This window comes from Homo sapiens, chromosome 11, assembly GCF_000001405.40.
Source record: "Homo sapiens chromosome 11, GRCh38.p14 Primary Assembly".
NCBI classification, from domain to species: Eukaryota; Metazoa; Chordata; class Mammalia; order Primates; family Hominidae; genus Homo; species Homo sapiens.
Window position 1 is genome coordinate 109,974,110 of NC_000011.10, and position 17,901 is coordinate 109,992,010.

At 39.3% G+C, this 17,901-nt stretch overlaps 1 pseudogene, besides 1 other annotated feature; it reads left to right on the top strand.

Annotated features, from left to right (window-relative positions):
- Positions 8,289-8,902, top strand: RPSAP50 (ribosomal protein SA pseudogene 50; annotated as a pseudogene).
- Positions 10,765-10,884: an enhancer, noted in NCBI's record as "active region_5495". NCBI's record gives its function as "activates an Ori minimal core promoter by ATAC-STARR-seq in GM12878 lymphoblastoid cells {active_cell/tissue: GM12878}" and the evidence as "EXISTENCE:reporter gene assay evidence [ECO:0000049][PMID:35858748]".

Sequence of the window (17,901 nt, forward strand, 5' to 3'; positions counted from 1 at the left end):
GATTCATTGTCACTTTAGGAGAAAGAGAAAAGAAGAAGGTGGAGTAAGTGTCTAGCTTTATTCCACAGGAATTTGTCCTCGTCTCTGCTTCATTCAGCACTCTGACAATTCCCTGGCAAAGTGTAGAATGTATATGCATCTCCATTAGATTTTTTCGTCTGCTAGATTTGACTATTTGTTTCAACTACGCTCCTTTTTTTTTTTTTTTTTTTTAAGAGATGGAGTCTTGCTCTGTTATCCACCCTGGGGTGCAATGGCACAGTCATAGCTTACTGTAATCTTGAACTCCTGGGCACAAGTGATCCTCCCACCTCAGCCTCCCAAAGTGCTGAGATTACAAGTGTGAGCCACTGTGCACAGCCCAATTATGCTACTTTTGAGTATTAATTAAGACAACTGAGATTCTGGCTGCCCACCCAACATCACATTATGCTAAATTTAAGCACCATATGAATGTACTTCTTTAATAACTTCTTTACTATTTTCCTTGTTCTTCCACTTTACTATTTCTGCAAACCTCCTAATATAGACCATTCAGTCTATCTCCCTTTTCCTCTCCTACACCCTGCTAGCTCAGCATGAGCTGCTGGAGAAAACTCCCACATCAGTGCAGATTGGTGTCACAACCGAAGCAAGGCTTCCAAATGCAGCTGGCCATCAGCATTTCACAGGAATGGCTCTCCTCCCTTGGCCAGTGGCATCACTCTCTCCTGATTCTCCTCCTACCTCCCCGCTTTTTGTTTCTCTGTCTTCTTTATAAGCTCTTTTTCTTCTTTTCTTAGATATTCATTCTTCCTGCGTTCTGGCTGGGGCGCTCATTCAACATGCCCCTCCTGGGAAATCTTAGGCATTGTGATAACTTTGACAATCTATACAAGCTAATGATTCCCAGATCCTTATCTCCAGCCTAGGGCCTTCTGAGCTCTGTGTCTGTAAGTTAATAGACATCTCTAGCTACATCATTAACACATTTTAAACACAAGTCCTAAAATTAACTCATTTTCTATTATCTCATCCAGCAACTCCTGTATTTCCAATTTTGAAAAAGCCCATCTTTTTGTGTGGGCATGTGTATACTTGGTTTGATCTCTGTTCCATTCTTTCCGGAATGTTTGATTGTATCCCATGTTCATTAACAGGTGAACATATTGGCTGTTTCTCCAATAAAAAATGAAACAGACCATGTGTCTGCACCTAACTAGTATTCAATAAATGGTTGCTGAATAAGTGAATCATTTCCATGATCCACTAGTTTAATAATCTTATCAAAAAAGACAATAAGTATACTGATAAAACTTTCATTTAAGAACCAATGACCCCAATTATACTCATTATTTTCCTTTCCTAAATGCTGATGATCAATTCATTTACTATTTCACTTGGGGTACACATCAAGCTTATTGGTTTATAATTCATAAAGTCATGAGAATGAGTAGACACTTCCTCTTCTTTCTTTTGGAAATCAGAATTAAAATGGGTCTCTGTGGTTGTAAGGGAACATGCTCATGCTCTGTAATTCCTCATCGATTGTCATTTATGTTTCCACAACCTTACCTGCCCTTTCTTCCAGGAACCAATGACCTGGTTTATACAAACATGGCTAATATGAACTCATTTGGATAGCTCTTTGTGATTCTTAGATAAATCTAAGAATTTAGATTCCTCTTACTAATATTTATTTTTCCCTTCTGACTGAAAATACTTCTCTTTGACCAAGAAGAAAAAAATTCAAACACCAATTCAATATTTCTCGAATTTTTTTCCTATTGTCTATTAACATTAATTTTCCTTAATCAATATTCTTTCCTTATTTTTCTAACTCTAAAAATGACTGTGAGACTCCACTTTTGTTGTCCTTTGTGCTTTTTGCAAACCTCTACTCATTCTGGGTTTTAACTTTCCTGACTCGGCTTTTCCAGTTTCCCAACTCAGCTTTTCCAGTTTCCTGACTCCATTTCTGCTTAGTTCCTTTCCTCTCCTTCCAGCTCACGGTTGCATTATTCTAAAATTAGTATTAAAATGCCAATAAATGCCTTGACAAATAATAGTTATTGAGCATTTATTATGTGCGAGACACATCACATTCAATTTTTTAATTTTACCATAACCCAGTGGAATAGTTATTACTAAGATCCCTATATTATACATGAGGAAATGAGACTTAATGAGATTCAGAAGTTTCCCAGTGTCACAGAGCTAGTAAACTACAGATCCAGAGGCTTAAGCCCAGGTCTGAATGACTAAAAGCCAAGACCCTACTGTCCAAGTTTAGTCTTCTTCTGTGTGAAAAGTACCATAACACTGAGCTCACAAACTCAAAGGGTCCAGAAGCCATGTACTAAAATAGGAAATGCACATGGGTGAAGAGGGCCAAGTGTTTGCATAGCAAACACGTTGGAATATTCTTTCCTTCCACAAACATATTTTTTCCTTTTTTTGTTATCTTCACACTTTCAAGATAAATACATAGGGAAAAATATTCTCTAATTATGCAAAAAGTAATAATGTGAGTTTGATAAATGGCAGTGGATATTCAGGTTAAGGTAATCAACAAGAAGTAGGGGCACTGCTGTGAACAGAAAAGCATAGTCCCCACTTCAGTGGTTCTCAAGGTGTGGACTCTGACTCTGACCAGCAGCATCAGCATCATCTGGGAGCCTGTTAGAAATGCTAATTTCGGGGCCCCATCCCAGACCTACTGAATGAGAAATTCTAGGGTGGGGCCCAGAAAACTATGGCTTAACAAGCCCCCCAGGTGATTTTGATGCACACTCAGGATTGAGAAACACTGCCGTACCTAAAGGGAATACCTCCCGCTCCTCTCCAGCTGATTGTTTCCATGTGGGGAGTATGGATCTTAGGTCATCAGTGCCTCCATGTTCAAAGGGAAGCAGAAGTCTCCATTATTTTAATTCTCCCAATTATTAAATACTGCTTCAAATGTTTTTAATATGCAATAGATGAAACAAAACACATGTAGGCTACTTCTGGCCTATAGACCATTCAGTAAATGACCACTGAACAGAACCTAAGTTATATTAAACATTAGAATTATTTTACTAGTAACTACTTATGGAAATATCAATTAATTGGCAAATGAAGGAAAGTCTCCTTTTCATTATAACCACTTGTTGTTTGGGAGAGCAATCTGCCCACCTTATAATAACATTTGATAGAGTTTAAATGTTTTGATCAAGGTTTTTTTTTTTACCCTGCCTGGAATTTTCAAGATATGATTCATGTTTGTATTGTAATTTTAAGTATTATGAACTAAAACATTAGCTCTAAGTGATATGGACAGGAGGCAGGGAAATGCTGGGTAGAAAAGGATTGTTCCCCAGCAAAGGCCCCAACTTCAAGCCTGGAAACCCGAGGCCCTAAATGAGAACAGGCATTCCTGTTTTTGCACCCAAAAGTTGCCTTTTGGCCCACCACACTCCCTATCCTGTACCCATATAAACCCCAAACTCCAGGCTCCATGAGCAGATGAACAGAAGAGCAGAAGAGCAGCAGAATGGTGGAGCAGAGAAAAGAGGAGATGGAGCATCTGAACATCGAGAGGAGTTTGGCTGGGGCTGGTTGGAGAGGATATCGGCTGCTAGATGGCCAAACTCCAGGGAAAGATCATCTTCCCACTCCATCCCCTTTCCAGCTCCCCATCCATCCCACTGAGAGCCCCCTCCACTACTCATAAACCCCCCACATTCACCAACCTTCAAGTCCATGTGTGACCTGACTCTTCCTGGATGCCAGACAAGAACCCAGGTACCAAGGGGTCACTGAGCTGGTTAACACTTAAGCCACAGACAGCAGAGCTAAAAGAGCACTGTAGCACACCCACTGGGGCTTTGCGAGTCAGAGGCACCAACCACTAGATGCTACCATGGGGCCAGAGCTCAAAAGCACTCGCTCCAGCTCCTGCACCTACCTGTCTCTGTGCTCTCCATCCCGTAAGGGGTTTGAGTGCACAGCGGCCAAACAGATGAGCCACACCCCTGTTGCATGTCCTGCAAGGGGGGTCAGGGAACTCTCCTGTTTCATAAGATTTAAATGGCAGCTCATAAACTAACATATTTTATGAAACTTTTTTTCATTTTAATAATGCGGTGTGTATGTGTGTATGTATAGGATATGCTGAAGACTTTCAAATCAAATAAATCTAGTTCTATGTTTTAATCAGCCTGTGAAAGGCCTCTATCCAATGTTTTATGATTTTGAGCTTTAATCATAGATGAATACCTCTGAGAACCTGCCAATACAAGAATATTGCCCGTGGATCAAGCAGAGTTTGGGTCAAAGTGTTTCAGGAAAAGGAGCATCATGCATGAAGGTCCCAACATGGTACGGTTGGCGTATTTGAGAATGGAAATAAGATCACTGTAAAGAACAGCCCAGTATGAGGTTGCAGAAGTACAGAGAGCCCAGATTGTAGAAGGCCTTGTAGACTTCAGTAAGGACTGGGGTATTTATTGTAAGGACAATGAGAAACCACTGACAGATTTCAAAACAGCCATGATTCCCTAAACATTTAATCATTAAAAGATCAGTTTGGTTATATTATGGAGACTCAATGAGAAAGAGTAGATATAAAGCAGATCAGTTAGAAAGTTATTCCAGGAGTCCTGTTGGGATGTGGTGCCGTGTTGGTGGTAATAAAAATAAAGACAATTTCACAGATTTAATAAGTGCATGGGAAGTCAAATTGATATGGTTATTGTGGTTACTGATCAGACTTCAATAAACCAAAAGGCCGTGGTGCCAAGGGCCATCCCTAGAGCCAGCCTGTAGCATTCATGCCCCAGCCTGCTCTGACTACAAAGCTGATGCTCTATAAAAATCCAGTCTTCTTCCAGCTCCCTCAATCCATGCCTGGGCCAAGCTCCAGATTCACAGGCCTTGTGCTCTACATTTGCATGTGTGTATACTAGACTAAAGCAACTGCCACCTATAACTTCAATCCTATGTGAAATTGTGCTGAGTTCCAAAACAATCAACTTCTGGAAAGTGACCTCTTTAAAAGTTAAATAGCCCAGCACAGTGACTCATGCCTGTAATTCCAGCACTTTCAGAGGCTGAGGCGGGTGGATTCCTTGAGGTCAGGAGTTCAACACCAGCCTGGCCAACATGGCGAAACCCCATCTCTACTAAAAAGATAAAGATAAAAAATTAGCCAGGTGTGGTGGTGCACACCTGTAATCTCAGCTACTCAGGAGCCTGAAGCAGGAGAATTACTTGAATCCAGGAGATGGAGGTTTCAATGAGCTGAGATCGTGCCACTACATTCCAGCCTGGGTGACAGAGCAAGACTACGTCTCAAAAAAAAAAAAAATGATAAATATTCCTTCCCCTTTGTTTACTGTCTGAGAGTCTCAGATTTAGAGCCCCAATCTGTCTTCTCAATTATAAATTCTGATAAAGTCTGAACCCCTAAAATTAATCTTTCTATATCTCATTTCCCTTATGAGAGCAAGCCACATTAACACAATTTGGTCACACTGACCTAATAAAGGTCTTTTTGCCCATCAGTGAAAATCTGAGACATAGCGTTGATGTCATACCTACATTGAAACACTGACTTCTCTGCTTAAGATATATTTACAATTTAGGACATCCTGGGTCCCCCAGGGAAAATGAAGTAAATTAACGTCAAATATTTGTGTACTTCATTACCATCTTCATGAAAATGTAGTAAACTTTCACAATCTGCTTATTTCCCTTAGGAAGTGGGAAATTCAGGATTACAAATGCTTATCAAAGAAAGACTATAGCCTACCCAAATAAAAGGAAATACTAGGTCAAAAATATAAGTAGCACATAATTCGACACAATGCCTAAATGAGCATCATCTTCTGAAGCACAATAATTGTTTGGAAATTTTTCTTCAGCTAAGAACTCTTTTTTCAACCTAGGGGTGACTAAATGCAGGTTGGGGCAATACAATATTTACTTATTCCATTCAGTAAACAAGTGAAAATGTGAACCAAAATTAAGAAAATATAATTGTATGGTTCTGTATAGTGACCCATGCTTTCTACCTATCCTCAGACCCACTTTCCTTATTATGGAGTCCTTTATTAGGTATGGGTCAGATACACACTGTGGATAAAAGGGAGACACCATGAGGTCCAGCAGGAAATAGACTTGGCAGATTTGGGACAGGAAACCTGGCCCTATCAATACTTCTGAGGTAGAGGAAAGAGCTCCCTTTCCTCTCCCAAGGCACTAGGACCCTAGGGAGATGGAAACCCTAGGCACCTAAGAAACATGGACGGAAAGAAGGCAGGTAGACCTAACCCTTCACCCTAGGTGTTCTTCAGTGGTACTGCAGAGGCAGTGTTTAGTGGGATGGAGGCCTGTCCAAGGCATCCTGATGATAGCTGGCTAGTGAGAAGAAATGTTGGGACATAAGAAAGGGATGTCTCATTTTCATGGAAGAATTGAGGATTTTATACCTTATTCACTATAAGCCTAACTGGAACTACCCCTGGCTTGGTGAAGATAGGAGTGAAGTGGATGACAGAGGCAGCCCCCAATCATTCCAAGGCAAAAAAAAAAAAAGTTGATAAGAATTCCATTACTACTGTATTTCTCAGGATTATTACAACAAACAATCTTGGGATTTAGAATTGATGTTGGGAAAGGTTTATATTAAATATAGAAACTACATAGTGACGAAGGAATCAGCAGGCAAAACTTATCACTTCTCTGAATACTGTTCCTTATATAGAGTTTTCTTCGTAAACCCTTAGTGTATTATAATCAGTAACCATAGCAGCATATGGATTTGAATATATGCTTTTAAATTCCATATAATTGGCAAAATGTGCAGTTGAATTGTTGCTTGGTGTGATTTCTTTTTCTGCTCAGCAGGGATAAGTGGGTGTCAAGTTGGACTACTCTATAAAACAGAACTGAAATGTTTTTCCCACAAGGTCATGGGGAAGAAAACTGAGCAAAGAAGTTGACTTATATTCGAGAGATATGGGTCTAATATTTAATCAAGCATCTCTACCACAGGCACTTTACCTAGGCTAAATAACTTAATCCTCCTGAAGCCACCTGAGGCATGCTTATTACTTTAAAGATAAAGAATCAGGCTTAGGAATTTAAGTAGCTGACCAAAGGTCACACAGCCAGCACATGGCAAAAGCAGGATGTGTTTGTATATTTCACATGGGCATTTCAGATTCCAAATTGTGTGCATTTTCCTAGGACATCCTAGTTACTATCTGGGCCATTTTCCAAATGAAAGGACCAATAATTAGTTTCTTTTCTCCTTTTACAGATGAGAAAACTGTACCTCATAGTGGTTAGCTGTCTTCTCAGTCACATAATTATTGTGCCACAAAACTCAAGCCCAGGACTTCTAAGTCCCTTTCCAGGACTCTTACCATTATGAGATGACTGTGACATTCTAAGTCCAGTTTACCATTGTTTAAATAAGCCATTTATAACTTCTGTTGACCATATACTATTTAACCTAGGTGATATCTAGGATCACCCTGTCTCCTAAAATCTAGACAAGACTATTTCTGGTCTCCAGCACACCCGATATTGAAAGTCCAATTCCCTCTGCAAGATTTCCATGTATTTCTCCAGGGCTTATGTTCTCCTGAGTGCCTCTTGCTTCAGCTAATTTCTTGTTCTGCACTTTGGCACCTTGCAACTTTTTCTTTATTCCCACTGGGTTCTTGAACTGGTATTCCGCTATCTTCCTTGGTTTTACACACAAACACAAAAAATCATTCACACAAAGACTTTGGGTAGCAGGTTTTATAGAAAGTTTAGAGAAGTTAGGAAATATACAGAGTTTGCACAGTTGACCCATAAACAATAAGATCTGAATAACAGTCAACCTAGTTCTATAGTCTCTCTGCTGATTTCTCACATTGCTCAGCCATTCTCTCTCCTATATGACCTCTGCCCCCATCAGCAATTTTGTTTTAAATGAAAAATCATTCTACCTTCCATTTGTTCTGCCCTAAGACTTCTCAATCCTATCATGGGGATAGGATTTTTCATTCCCAAATGCTCCATCAAGATGTATTCTAGATTCCTGTAGCTTAAAGGGAAACTTTTACAATGTCCAAAGCCCTTGATGTCCTGCAACTGAAGGAGAAGGATGTCCTTAAATTCCTTGCAGCAGGAACTCATTTAGGTGGCACCAACCTTGATTTCCAGAGGAAAAGTGACAGCATCTACATCATCAGTCTGAAGAGGATCTGGGAGAAGCTTCTGCTGACAGCTCATCTATTGTTGCCATTGAAAACACTGCTGATGTCAGTGTCATGTCCTCCAGGAATCCTGGCCAGTGGGTTGTGCTCAAATTTGCTACTGCCACTGGAGCAAATCCTATTGCTAGCTGCTTTACTCCTGGAACCTTCACTAACCCAATCCAGGCAGCCTTCCAGGAGCCGTGTTTTTTGGTGGTTACTGATCCCAGGGCTAACCACCAGCTTTTCACAGAGACATCTTATGGTAACCTGCCTACCATTGCTCTGTGTTCCACAGATTCTCCTCTGTGCTCTGTGGGCATCTCCATCCCATGCAACAATAAGGGAGTTCACTCAGTGGGTCTGATGTGGTGGAGACTGGCCCAGGAAGTTCTGCACACAAGTGGCACCATCTCCTGTGAACACTCATCAAGGTCATGCCTGATTTCTACTTCCATGGAGATCCTGAAGAGATTGAAAAGGAAGAACAGGCTGCTGCTGAAAAGACTGTGACCAAGGAGGAATTTCAGAGTGAATGGACTACCCTAGCTCCTGACTCCACTGCTACTCAACCAGAGGTTGCAGACTGGTCTGAAGGCAAGCAGGTGCCCCTGTGGCCATTCAGCAGGTTTCGACTGAAAACTACAGCATTCAACCTGCTATGGAAGAATGGTCTGCAGCTCCCCTGACTCAGGCCACTGAAGGGGTAGGAACCACCACCAAGTGATTTTAAGTTGTTCTTCCATGGGCTCTTAAGCAAGATGGAAATAAGATTGATGGTAAATAAACATCCATTTTTTTAATTTTTTAAAAAAAGATATTTTCAAGCCCATTCCTCCCCAAAGCAAATTCTACTATGAACTATTTTAAAAAGAAAGGAGATTTTTTTCTTTTTTTACCACCCACCAACTATATCACATGTTCTGAGAAGTACACAGGGAGAAAATCTGTCCTAAAACAGTAAGTAGCTAACCTAATAAGAAAATAAATGCACAGAACTCAACGTCTCTTGGGCCTCACCAGCCTATAAAAACAGTGAGGTCACATAACATTTACCCATATGGTCTCTTCAGCAAGCCCGCCTAACCCCAGGAACCCCAGCAAGGACAATCTAAGAGAAATTCAGCCAATCCAACTATGAAAACTATATAACTTACAATTAGAGGGGGGAAAAGATGTCTGAAGGCTGAAGAACGGAGTTAATAGGATGACCATGGGTTAACAAAATGGCTCACCTTAGGTTCAAGGCGGCTGTTTAGATTTCTGAACTTGAGCCACCAGGATTCAATGATATAGCTTCTAAATGTCTGTTTGTTTGTTTGTTTGTTTGTTTGTTTGTTTGAATCTATTTTAGTTTTGCCATTAAAAAAATAAACTAGGGTTATCTGGGGTTTCCATTTCTGACCAAATTGAAAGTATTAATATTCAGAAAGCAACTGACCATGGAAATTGGTTTTTCATGTTACTTATGATTTTGTTACAAGGATGAGAAAAACTAGTAAAGTCTGTGAAAAAGTAGTTTTGCCAACCAATTTTTAAACGATGAAGCTACCAAGGATTCTCTATCCCTTGTTCACAATTTCAAAATCCAAAGAGCTCTGAAACTCTTGAGTTTTTAATTCAAAAAGTTCTGGCAATGTCATCTGGTAGCAGAACCTGAACTGAACACGTATGAGGCTGCTTGTGGTCTTTATTCATCCCACTTCATGAGAGGAGTTCTGTGTTTCCTGTAGAAACATGAAAATGTTTGATCACAGGGTGTTCCTCCAACTACACTGAAGGAAGTGTGTAAAATATGCAATGCAGAGTTTACCCTTCAAAAGTCTTGAGTTCCAATCCATCTTGAATTCCAATCCACATTTGGCTCCAAAGGTTTCAGAGAAAGGATTATGGATCTACATTGGCATCTGCTAGAGGTAAGTGAAGGCAAAGGGAGGAGAAGCCAAGGGAAATGGGGGAAGCTCTTATGGTTCCAAGGGCCCCATTTTCAGAAGCACAAATTAGAACATGTGATCTGTCAAAGGGAGAGAACATCAGATATGGGACTGTGTTGTAGACATGTAGAGTCTAGTGGAAGTTATGGCAAGTGAGAATATTTAGGAAACCCTGCTAAGTCCTCCAGTCAAAGCCAGATTTACCTACTGGGACCTACTGCCCAGCCACTCACCACTCCCTACAATGTAAGGGATAAGGCTAGAACTATAAGAGCACAGACATTCTTGGTGGAAGTTTTCCAAGCCTCTCCTTTCTCTCCTTTTATTAAAAAAAAAAAATCTGATCATTTTAGTTATTTAAAGTTCCTTCAGTGCTAATTTGATTTAGGAAAAACAAAGATTATTTTAAAAAGAAAAAAAGAGATGAGAGTAAATAAGGCCCTACCGAAGTAGTTCTTTAACTTGGCTCACATCAGAATCACTTGGGAAGCTTTTTCAACTATTGATCCCTAAGCCATTCCACCCCTGCTCTACCCCCACAACCCACTGAATAAGGAGCTCCCGAGTTGGTTTCAGGGCATATAGAGCTCTCAAAGTGCCACAGGTAATTTCTATGTGTAGTGGGGTTGAGAACTACTGATTAATTTTTTTTTAATCTTTAAAGAGGGAGAAAGAAAAAGACCTTTTCCCTATTTCTATATAAGAAAGTTCCTAGGATCCAGAAAAGCCCAAACAGGGGTAGTAAGTACACTTTGCCAGGGGTAGTAAGTACACTTTGCCGTTGTCTTAATCACATGTGCTAACCACACAAAGGAAGTTTCACTTCTATAAAAACTATCAGTTTCTCTTTCATACTTATCATTTGCAGTCATAGATGCGTTAAGCAATTTTCAGCCAATGATTTTATCTTCTTCATTCCCGAGCTTGTGGATATACCCTACATTTAGGTGCTATCAAGGATTAAGGGAATATCCGCTACATGTCAGAAGAAAAACCAGCTTCTCAGAAATTCTCTGGTGTGTTGGATGGAATTTAGCAAAATGTCTTGAATAGGAAGTCAACTTCTTTTCTTTCTTTTGCTGGAATATCTACACAATAAATTTCACATTCCTTATATGTATGACCAAGCAATTTGGTTCTCTCATCTTTCTTCCGAACCACCTCAATGTGAGAAAAATGTTGTAAGCTAGTTTCCCTCTTATCTTTAAAATATGGCTCCATGAATGCTTTCTCTTTGCGTTTATCATGTTTATCCCCGGGAGTGTTTGGTTTCCTGGTGGAGCTGAAGATTCCTCCTCTTCATCTACTAGTTGGGGGATATTCTTCACGTATTGTCCTATTGAACATATCTTGCAAACTATCATTTATTTTTAATTCTGCATTTGGACTTTTTCTCCCTTCTCCTCCTTTAGGTCTTCTTCTCAGAGAGGCTACCTTGATCCCTGGGTTAAATAAGTTTCCCTGTTATTGTTTCTCAGAACACAATGCTTTTCTTTCATAGCATTCATCAGAATTTAATTAAATGCTTATTGCAGTGCTTATTTATTTAATGTCTATTTTCCTACTAGATAATAAGACATTTAAGGTCAGAAACCCAGTCTATTTTTTGTTGTCACTTAGTTTGGTTGGGTTTTTGTTTTTATTTTTTTGTTTGTTTGTTTGTTTGTTTTTGCTTTGTCGTTTTTGGTGGGTTTTCTCTGGAAGAAGGGGAAGGCTTTTGCTTTTTTTAAATTACAGTGCATCCAGTCAGTAACTCTGACACATAGTAAATGATAAATAAGTATTCATTGAATCTGTATGTTAAATATCCCAGAAACTCTAGGCTGGGATCACTGGATTTGTTCATCAGAAAGTCACAGGGGACTTTATAAAAAAGTGTCATTAAAAAGCAAAAATGTCTGGAAAGCAGAAGGCAAAGGACTGAAGAAGGGCTGGGAGCCCAGGGAAAGGAGGCAAAACACACTTGCCTTTGCATAGCAGGACTTGTGATCATCATGGTAAACACAAAAGCGTCCAAAACACAAGACTCCAATCAATGACTCTTGCCGATCATGAACGTTTATTTCAGAATGGCACATAATTGTGATTCAGAATGGCACATAATTGTGATTCAGAATGAACACGTTCATGGTGCTTTATTTGCTATGGTAAATGCTTAATTGCAGCTTGTGTTGTTGGCCTTTATTTAAATGTCAGTAAAACTCTCTCCCACAGATATTACATTTTATAATTCATCATTCATGAAGTCTTCTTTAATCAACTTTTCCTTAAGTGTTTCCAATTCTTGTCAGGCAATTCATTTCTCTTGTAATGATCTAAGAATTAGTTCTAGGTAGCAAAATGACTATGTTCTTTCTGAGCACATTTTTCCTAAGAGTTTGAAAACATTTGTCTACATTAATCTGAGTTATTATGCAGTGGGGCCCAAGCCACAGTAAACACAGTGTAATGAGTAACATCTGTCAACCCTAATGGCAAAGGTTATCAAGCATTCTCAAGCCCTTTGCATTTTTATGACAAATAGAATAAATTGATACATACATTCAGTGAGTCAGTCAATTAACACTTGTGGGAGCAACAACCATAAGTCACATCTGGTAATAAAATGGCATATACAACACTATACCCGCCTCATGGAGTTTATAGTCCAAGTAGAGACACACATGAAAGCCATAAGACCAACAAAGAGTTACAGCAGCTATGATGGAGGCAAAAATAATTGATTTTTCTAAATGTTGGAGGCTGAGTGTGGTGGCTCACACCTGTAATCCCACTTTGGGAGGTTGAGGTGGGTGGATTGCTTGAGCCCAGAAGTCTGAGACCAGCATGGGAAACATGGCAACCCCATCTCTACAAAGAACTTAAAAAATAGCTGAGCACGGTGGTGTGAGACTGTAGTCCCAGCTATTCAGGAGGCTGAGGTGGGAGGATCATCTGAGCCTGGGGAGGTCAAGGCTGCAGTGAGCTGTGATCTAACCACTGCTTCCCAGCTTGGGCAACAGAGAGAAAAGAAAAAAAACAAAGTTGGAGTTTAGGGTAATATGGGAATCAGACTGGCTTCTTGACTCAAGTTGTGTCTTAAAAACTGAGCACACATGAGGGTTAAAGTGGGAGGAGTAACAAGAAGAAAGGGTGGTCCAGGCATGATGAAGAAATGTTATCAAAGCTTCAGAAGATGAAACAGCATGGCTCTGGACATGCTGATGGTTAGATGCCTGCAAATTGCTAGGCATAGAGGGGAGCTCGGAGAGAAATAAGGTAGGAGAGGGAAGCAGTGGCCAGGTATTGGAGGGTCTTGTGTGCCATAGTAAGCAGTTTGGATTATATTCTCTTGGCAACGTGGAGTCTCTGGAGTATTTCAAATAGGAAGTGACTTGGTGAGATGTATTATATGATTTAGAGAGTTCACTCTGGCAGTTGTGCCGAGATTGGATGAGACAGTTTGGGGCCTGAAGACCTTTTATTCATTCAGTCAAACACTTTTAAGTGCCTTTAAAGTACTTGATACTTTAAGTAGTAAATATCCCTAGAGCTGTCCTAAGCTCTAGGGATACAGTAATGAACCAAAGAGACAAGATCTCTGCTCTCATGGAGCATTCCAGCAGGGGCATATATATGTAATAACAAGAAAAGTGAATACATAAACAAGAAAAATAGAAGATAGCATGAATCTCTGTGAAAAAATTCAAATAGGCTGGTATAAAAGAAGTATCCAGTGGTGACTTAAAATTGTGTGGCTAAGAAAGACCTCTCTGAGCAGAATCTGAGCGACAAGAAACTCATTCTATTACAGGATTGGGAGGAGAGCATTCTAGGCAAAGGAACAGCTAATGCAAAATCCCTAAGAGAGAAAGAGCTTGGCCAGCTCAAAAAATGGAAAGAAGACCAACATGGCCAGCAATAAGACAGCCAGAAGCAAATGGTAGGCAGTGACATCTGATAAGTAGACCAAGCCTAGAATTCAAAGGCCATAAGGTTTAGGGCAATGTGTTTGGATTTTGTTTTAAGGGCCGTAGGAAATCACTATACAGTTTTCGGTGGGTAAATGATATGGGAAGGTGTATATTTTTAAACGATAACTGGCTGCTCTATAGAAGGTAGACAAGAATAGAAGTAGAAGGAAGTCAGGAAACTATTGAAGTGGTCCTCAGGGGAGATCAAGATGGACCAGGGAGATAGTAGTGGAGATGGAGAGAAGCAGATGGAATTGGGATACGTTTGTGGGCAGAGTTAAAAAATAACTTGCTGGTGGATTAGATATGGAAGAAAAAATAAAAAGTGGAATCAAAGAACACTGATGAATGTTTGGCATGTGCAATGGGCAGATGGTGGTAATGTTTACTGAGAAAGGAGCAGATATGAGAAAGGGAAATGAGAATTCCTATTGGGCTATGTTAAATTTGAGATAACTGTTGCATTCCAGAGGAGATGTCAAGTCAGCAAGTGGATGCACACATCTGGACTTGCAACGAAAGTCAAAACCATAGGTAAAGATTTGGAAATAACCCCCACATAGTATTTCTAAAGCCCTGGGAATAGGTGGGACACTAGGGAGATAGTGTAACTGGAGGAAAAGGGAGTACCCAAGAATAGGCTCTGAATGCTTAGGAGTTGTAAATACGGTTTTTTAAAAAAGCCACGAGATATCATGGCATCATGAAAGCCAAGAAAAGAATGAATGGCTTTAAAATATTATTTTAAAGTAGGATACCATTACAACAGGCAGGGCTTCTTTTCAGCAAGCTTGCTTAGCCATGTCTCAGTCATCTTTGTAACCTTAGTGATTAACACAATGTCTTAGCACTGAGTGGTAATAAATTAATCTTGCCAAGCCTAAAGAGCAGGCAAGAGGCCTGGGTCGAAGGTTTGCATAGACATAGGAATCTCCAGAATTGAAGTTATTTGAGTAAGGGGGTGAGATCACCCAAGATAAGTGTAGAATGAGATGAAAGCCAAGGACAGACACAACCCAGCAAATAACAACTTGTAGCAGGTAGCAATGCAAATGGAGAAGGAACATTCAGGGAGATAGGAGTGGAGCCGGAAGAGTGTTGTTCTGGAGGAATAGTGTGGAATGCTACAAAGGAGTGAAGAGTTTGCTAGTAGACTGTAGAGAACAATAGTGTAAAATATACAAAGAGAAACTTGGTTGTGGTGGGTGAAGAAGAGGTAAGAAGCAAGGAAAGTAAATGTGGACTATTCTTCCAGGAATCCCATCTATGAAGAGAAGGGGAGATGTTAGAAGGGTCCAAGATCACAGGAAGTTTATAAATTTGCAAGGAGAGAGCCAGTAGAATAAACATGTTAGAAATGCAGGTGACTGTTGGTGGGAATGCAAAATGGTGCAGTCCTAAGGAAAACAGTATGGCAGTTCCTCAAAAAATTAAAAACAGAATTATCATATGATCCAGCAATTCCACTTCTGAGTACAGACATAAGAAAACTGAAAGCAGAGTTTTGAAGAGATATTTGTATACCCAGGTTTATAGCAGCATTATTCACAATAGCCAAAAGTTGGAAGCAACCCAAATATCCATCAATGGATGAGTGCACAGACATTGTATATATTCCATACACACAATGGAATATCATTCAGCCTTAAAAGAAAGGACATTCTGCCACGTGCTACAGCATGGATAAAACTTGAGGACATTATGCTAAGTGTAATAAGCCATGCACAATACGGCAAGTATGTATGATTCCATTTATATGAAGAACCTAGCATAGGCAAATTCATGGAGACAGCAAGTAGAATGGTGGTTGCCAGAGCAGGAGAGACAGAAGAATGGGGAGGTATTATTTAATGGGCATTTAAGTTTCTGTTTTGCAAGATGAATAGAGCTCTGGAAATTGGTTGTACAACGATGTGAATGTACTTGACACTACTGAGCTTTCCACTTAAAATGGTTAAGATGGTCAATTGTATGTTATGTGGATGTGAGTAAAATTAATTTTTTTTTTAAATGTACATGAACAGCAAAGACAGAACAATCATGAGATTGGTGAAAAGAGACCCATCTTGCTCTGAGGCTGAAGAAAGGTAGTTGAAGGAGATGCAGATGAGGATAAGTTTGTAGGTATCAGGACTAAAAGCCAAGGGTGGCATGCCCTTTAACATTGATGTTCTCTTTTAAATGTAAGGTAAGATCATCAGTGAGAAAGAGAAGAGCAGGCAGGAGTCACTCCAATCCCAGTGATCCGCGATGATGTTTGAGAAAGAGCAGAATGAGATCACTTCCGCAGAGGAACCAAACCTTATGTTTGCCCTCTCCTCTCCTGTTAGACATCTTTCCTACATATATAATGTGTTATTGTAGTCAGTCAATTGGAACAAGGAATCTCATTTCACAAATAAATAAAAAATCTTGCATTTGAAAATATCCAGATTTATATCAAACTCAGCATCCAAATTATGTCTTTTGTTCTGGTTATACAGCACCAATAAAATCATGACTTCCACAGATAGCTTTGAAAATTTTTTTATTTGTTGACAGCTTACCTTGCAATCTCAGGTTGTCCTTAAATAAACAAATCTAGAAACAAAAAAAGAGGAATAGTAGTACTTTTCCTTTTAAATTTGAAAATTTATATCTAAGAGTTCCTTTCATTTTTTATAATGTCAGAAAAAAAAGCACTCATAATATACAAAAAGCACCAAAATATCTACCATGAAATATCATGACACAGCAGCACTCTCCTGATTATTAATGCCAGTGAGAACAGGAGCAGAACAGAGGCACCTAAACCTTGCCTGGCATTTTGTTTATCACAGTACACATCGGCAGTAATATTGTATTTGCTTGTCAAATTTTATGTGTATCACTACATGCAGGCTTGAATTTTAAAATGAGCAGTGTAGGGCAGCACCATTTTTAATCAAAAAAGTTTTACACTTTTTGTTTTATTCGTAAATATTTCAGTATGTATTTCTTACAGCTGGGAACTCATTTTTTAAAAACATAACAATACTATTATTACATCTAAAAATGTTAATAATTCCTTAATATCATCAAATGTCTACTTAGCATTTAAATTTCCCCAATTTATTTTTTCATTGTTTAAATAAGGATCCAAGTAAACTCCATATTTGCAAATGGTTGATGTATACTACAGATGTATACCTACAGATTGAAGTGTCTTTCAATCTATAGGTTCCTGTTCTTTCTTTTTTTTTTTCCCCCTAGACTCTTTTTTATTGAAATTGAACAATGGGCCAGGAACTATGTGAGGTCCTTGTATTCATTTGCTAGAGTTGCCATAATAAAATCACAGACTGGGTGGCTTAAACAGAAATATATTTATTTATTTTTTTAGTTTATTTACAGCTAAAGTGAAGACTAAGTATGTTAATGAAAGACTATATTATCTCCTAAACTGCAAGCTACTTTCAGGCAGAAATTGATAACTAGGTCACATGGTTTATTAATGACATAGTGTATTCCTTCATTCAATAAATATTTATTGGGTGTCTCTATGTGGCAGACGCTGTACTGGGCACTTCAGAGAAGAAGATAAAAAAGCATGAAGTCTCCCTCCACAAAGACATCATCTGGAGGAGCAGACTGACATGTCCATATATAAAAACTGTACACTGTACACAAGCAAACAAACAGCAAGCTCAGGGCAGAAGGTATGACTGCATCCTCTCTTCCCTCAAATGTTCCATGGTTAAGTCTAGAGGTGCTGCCTCTAGCTGTCATTGACATGATGTATAAAAATGAAGCCTGGTTTGAATTTAGAAGCTATTAAACTAA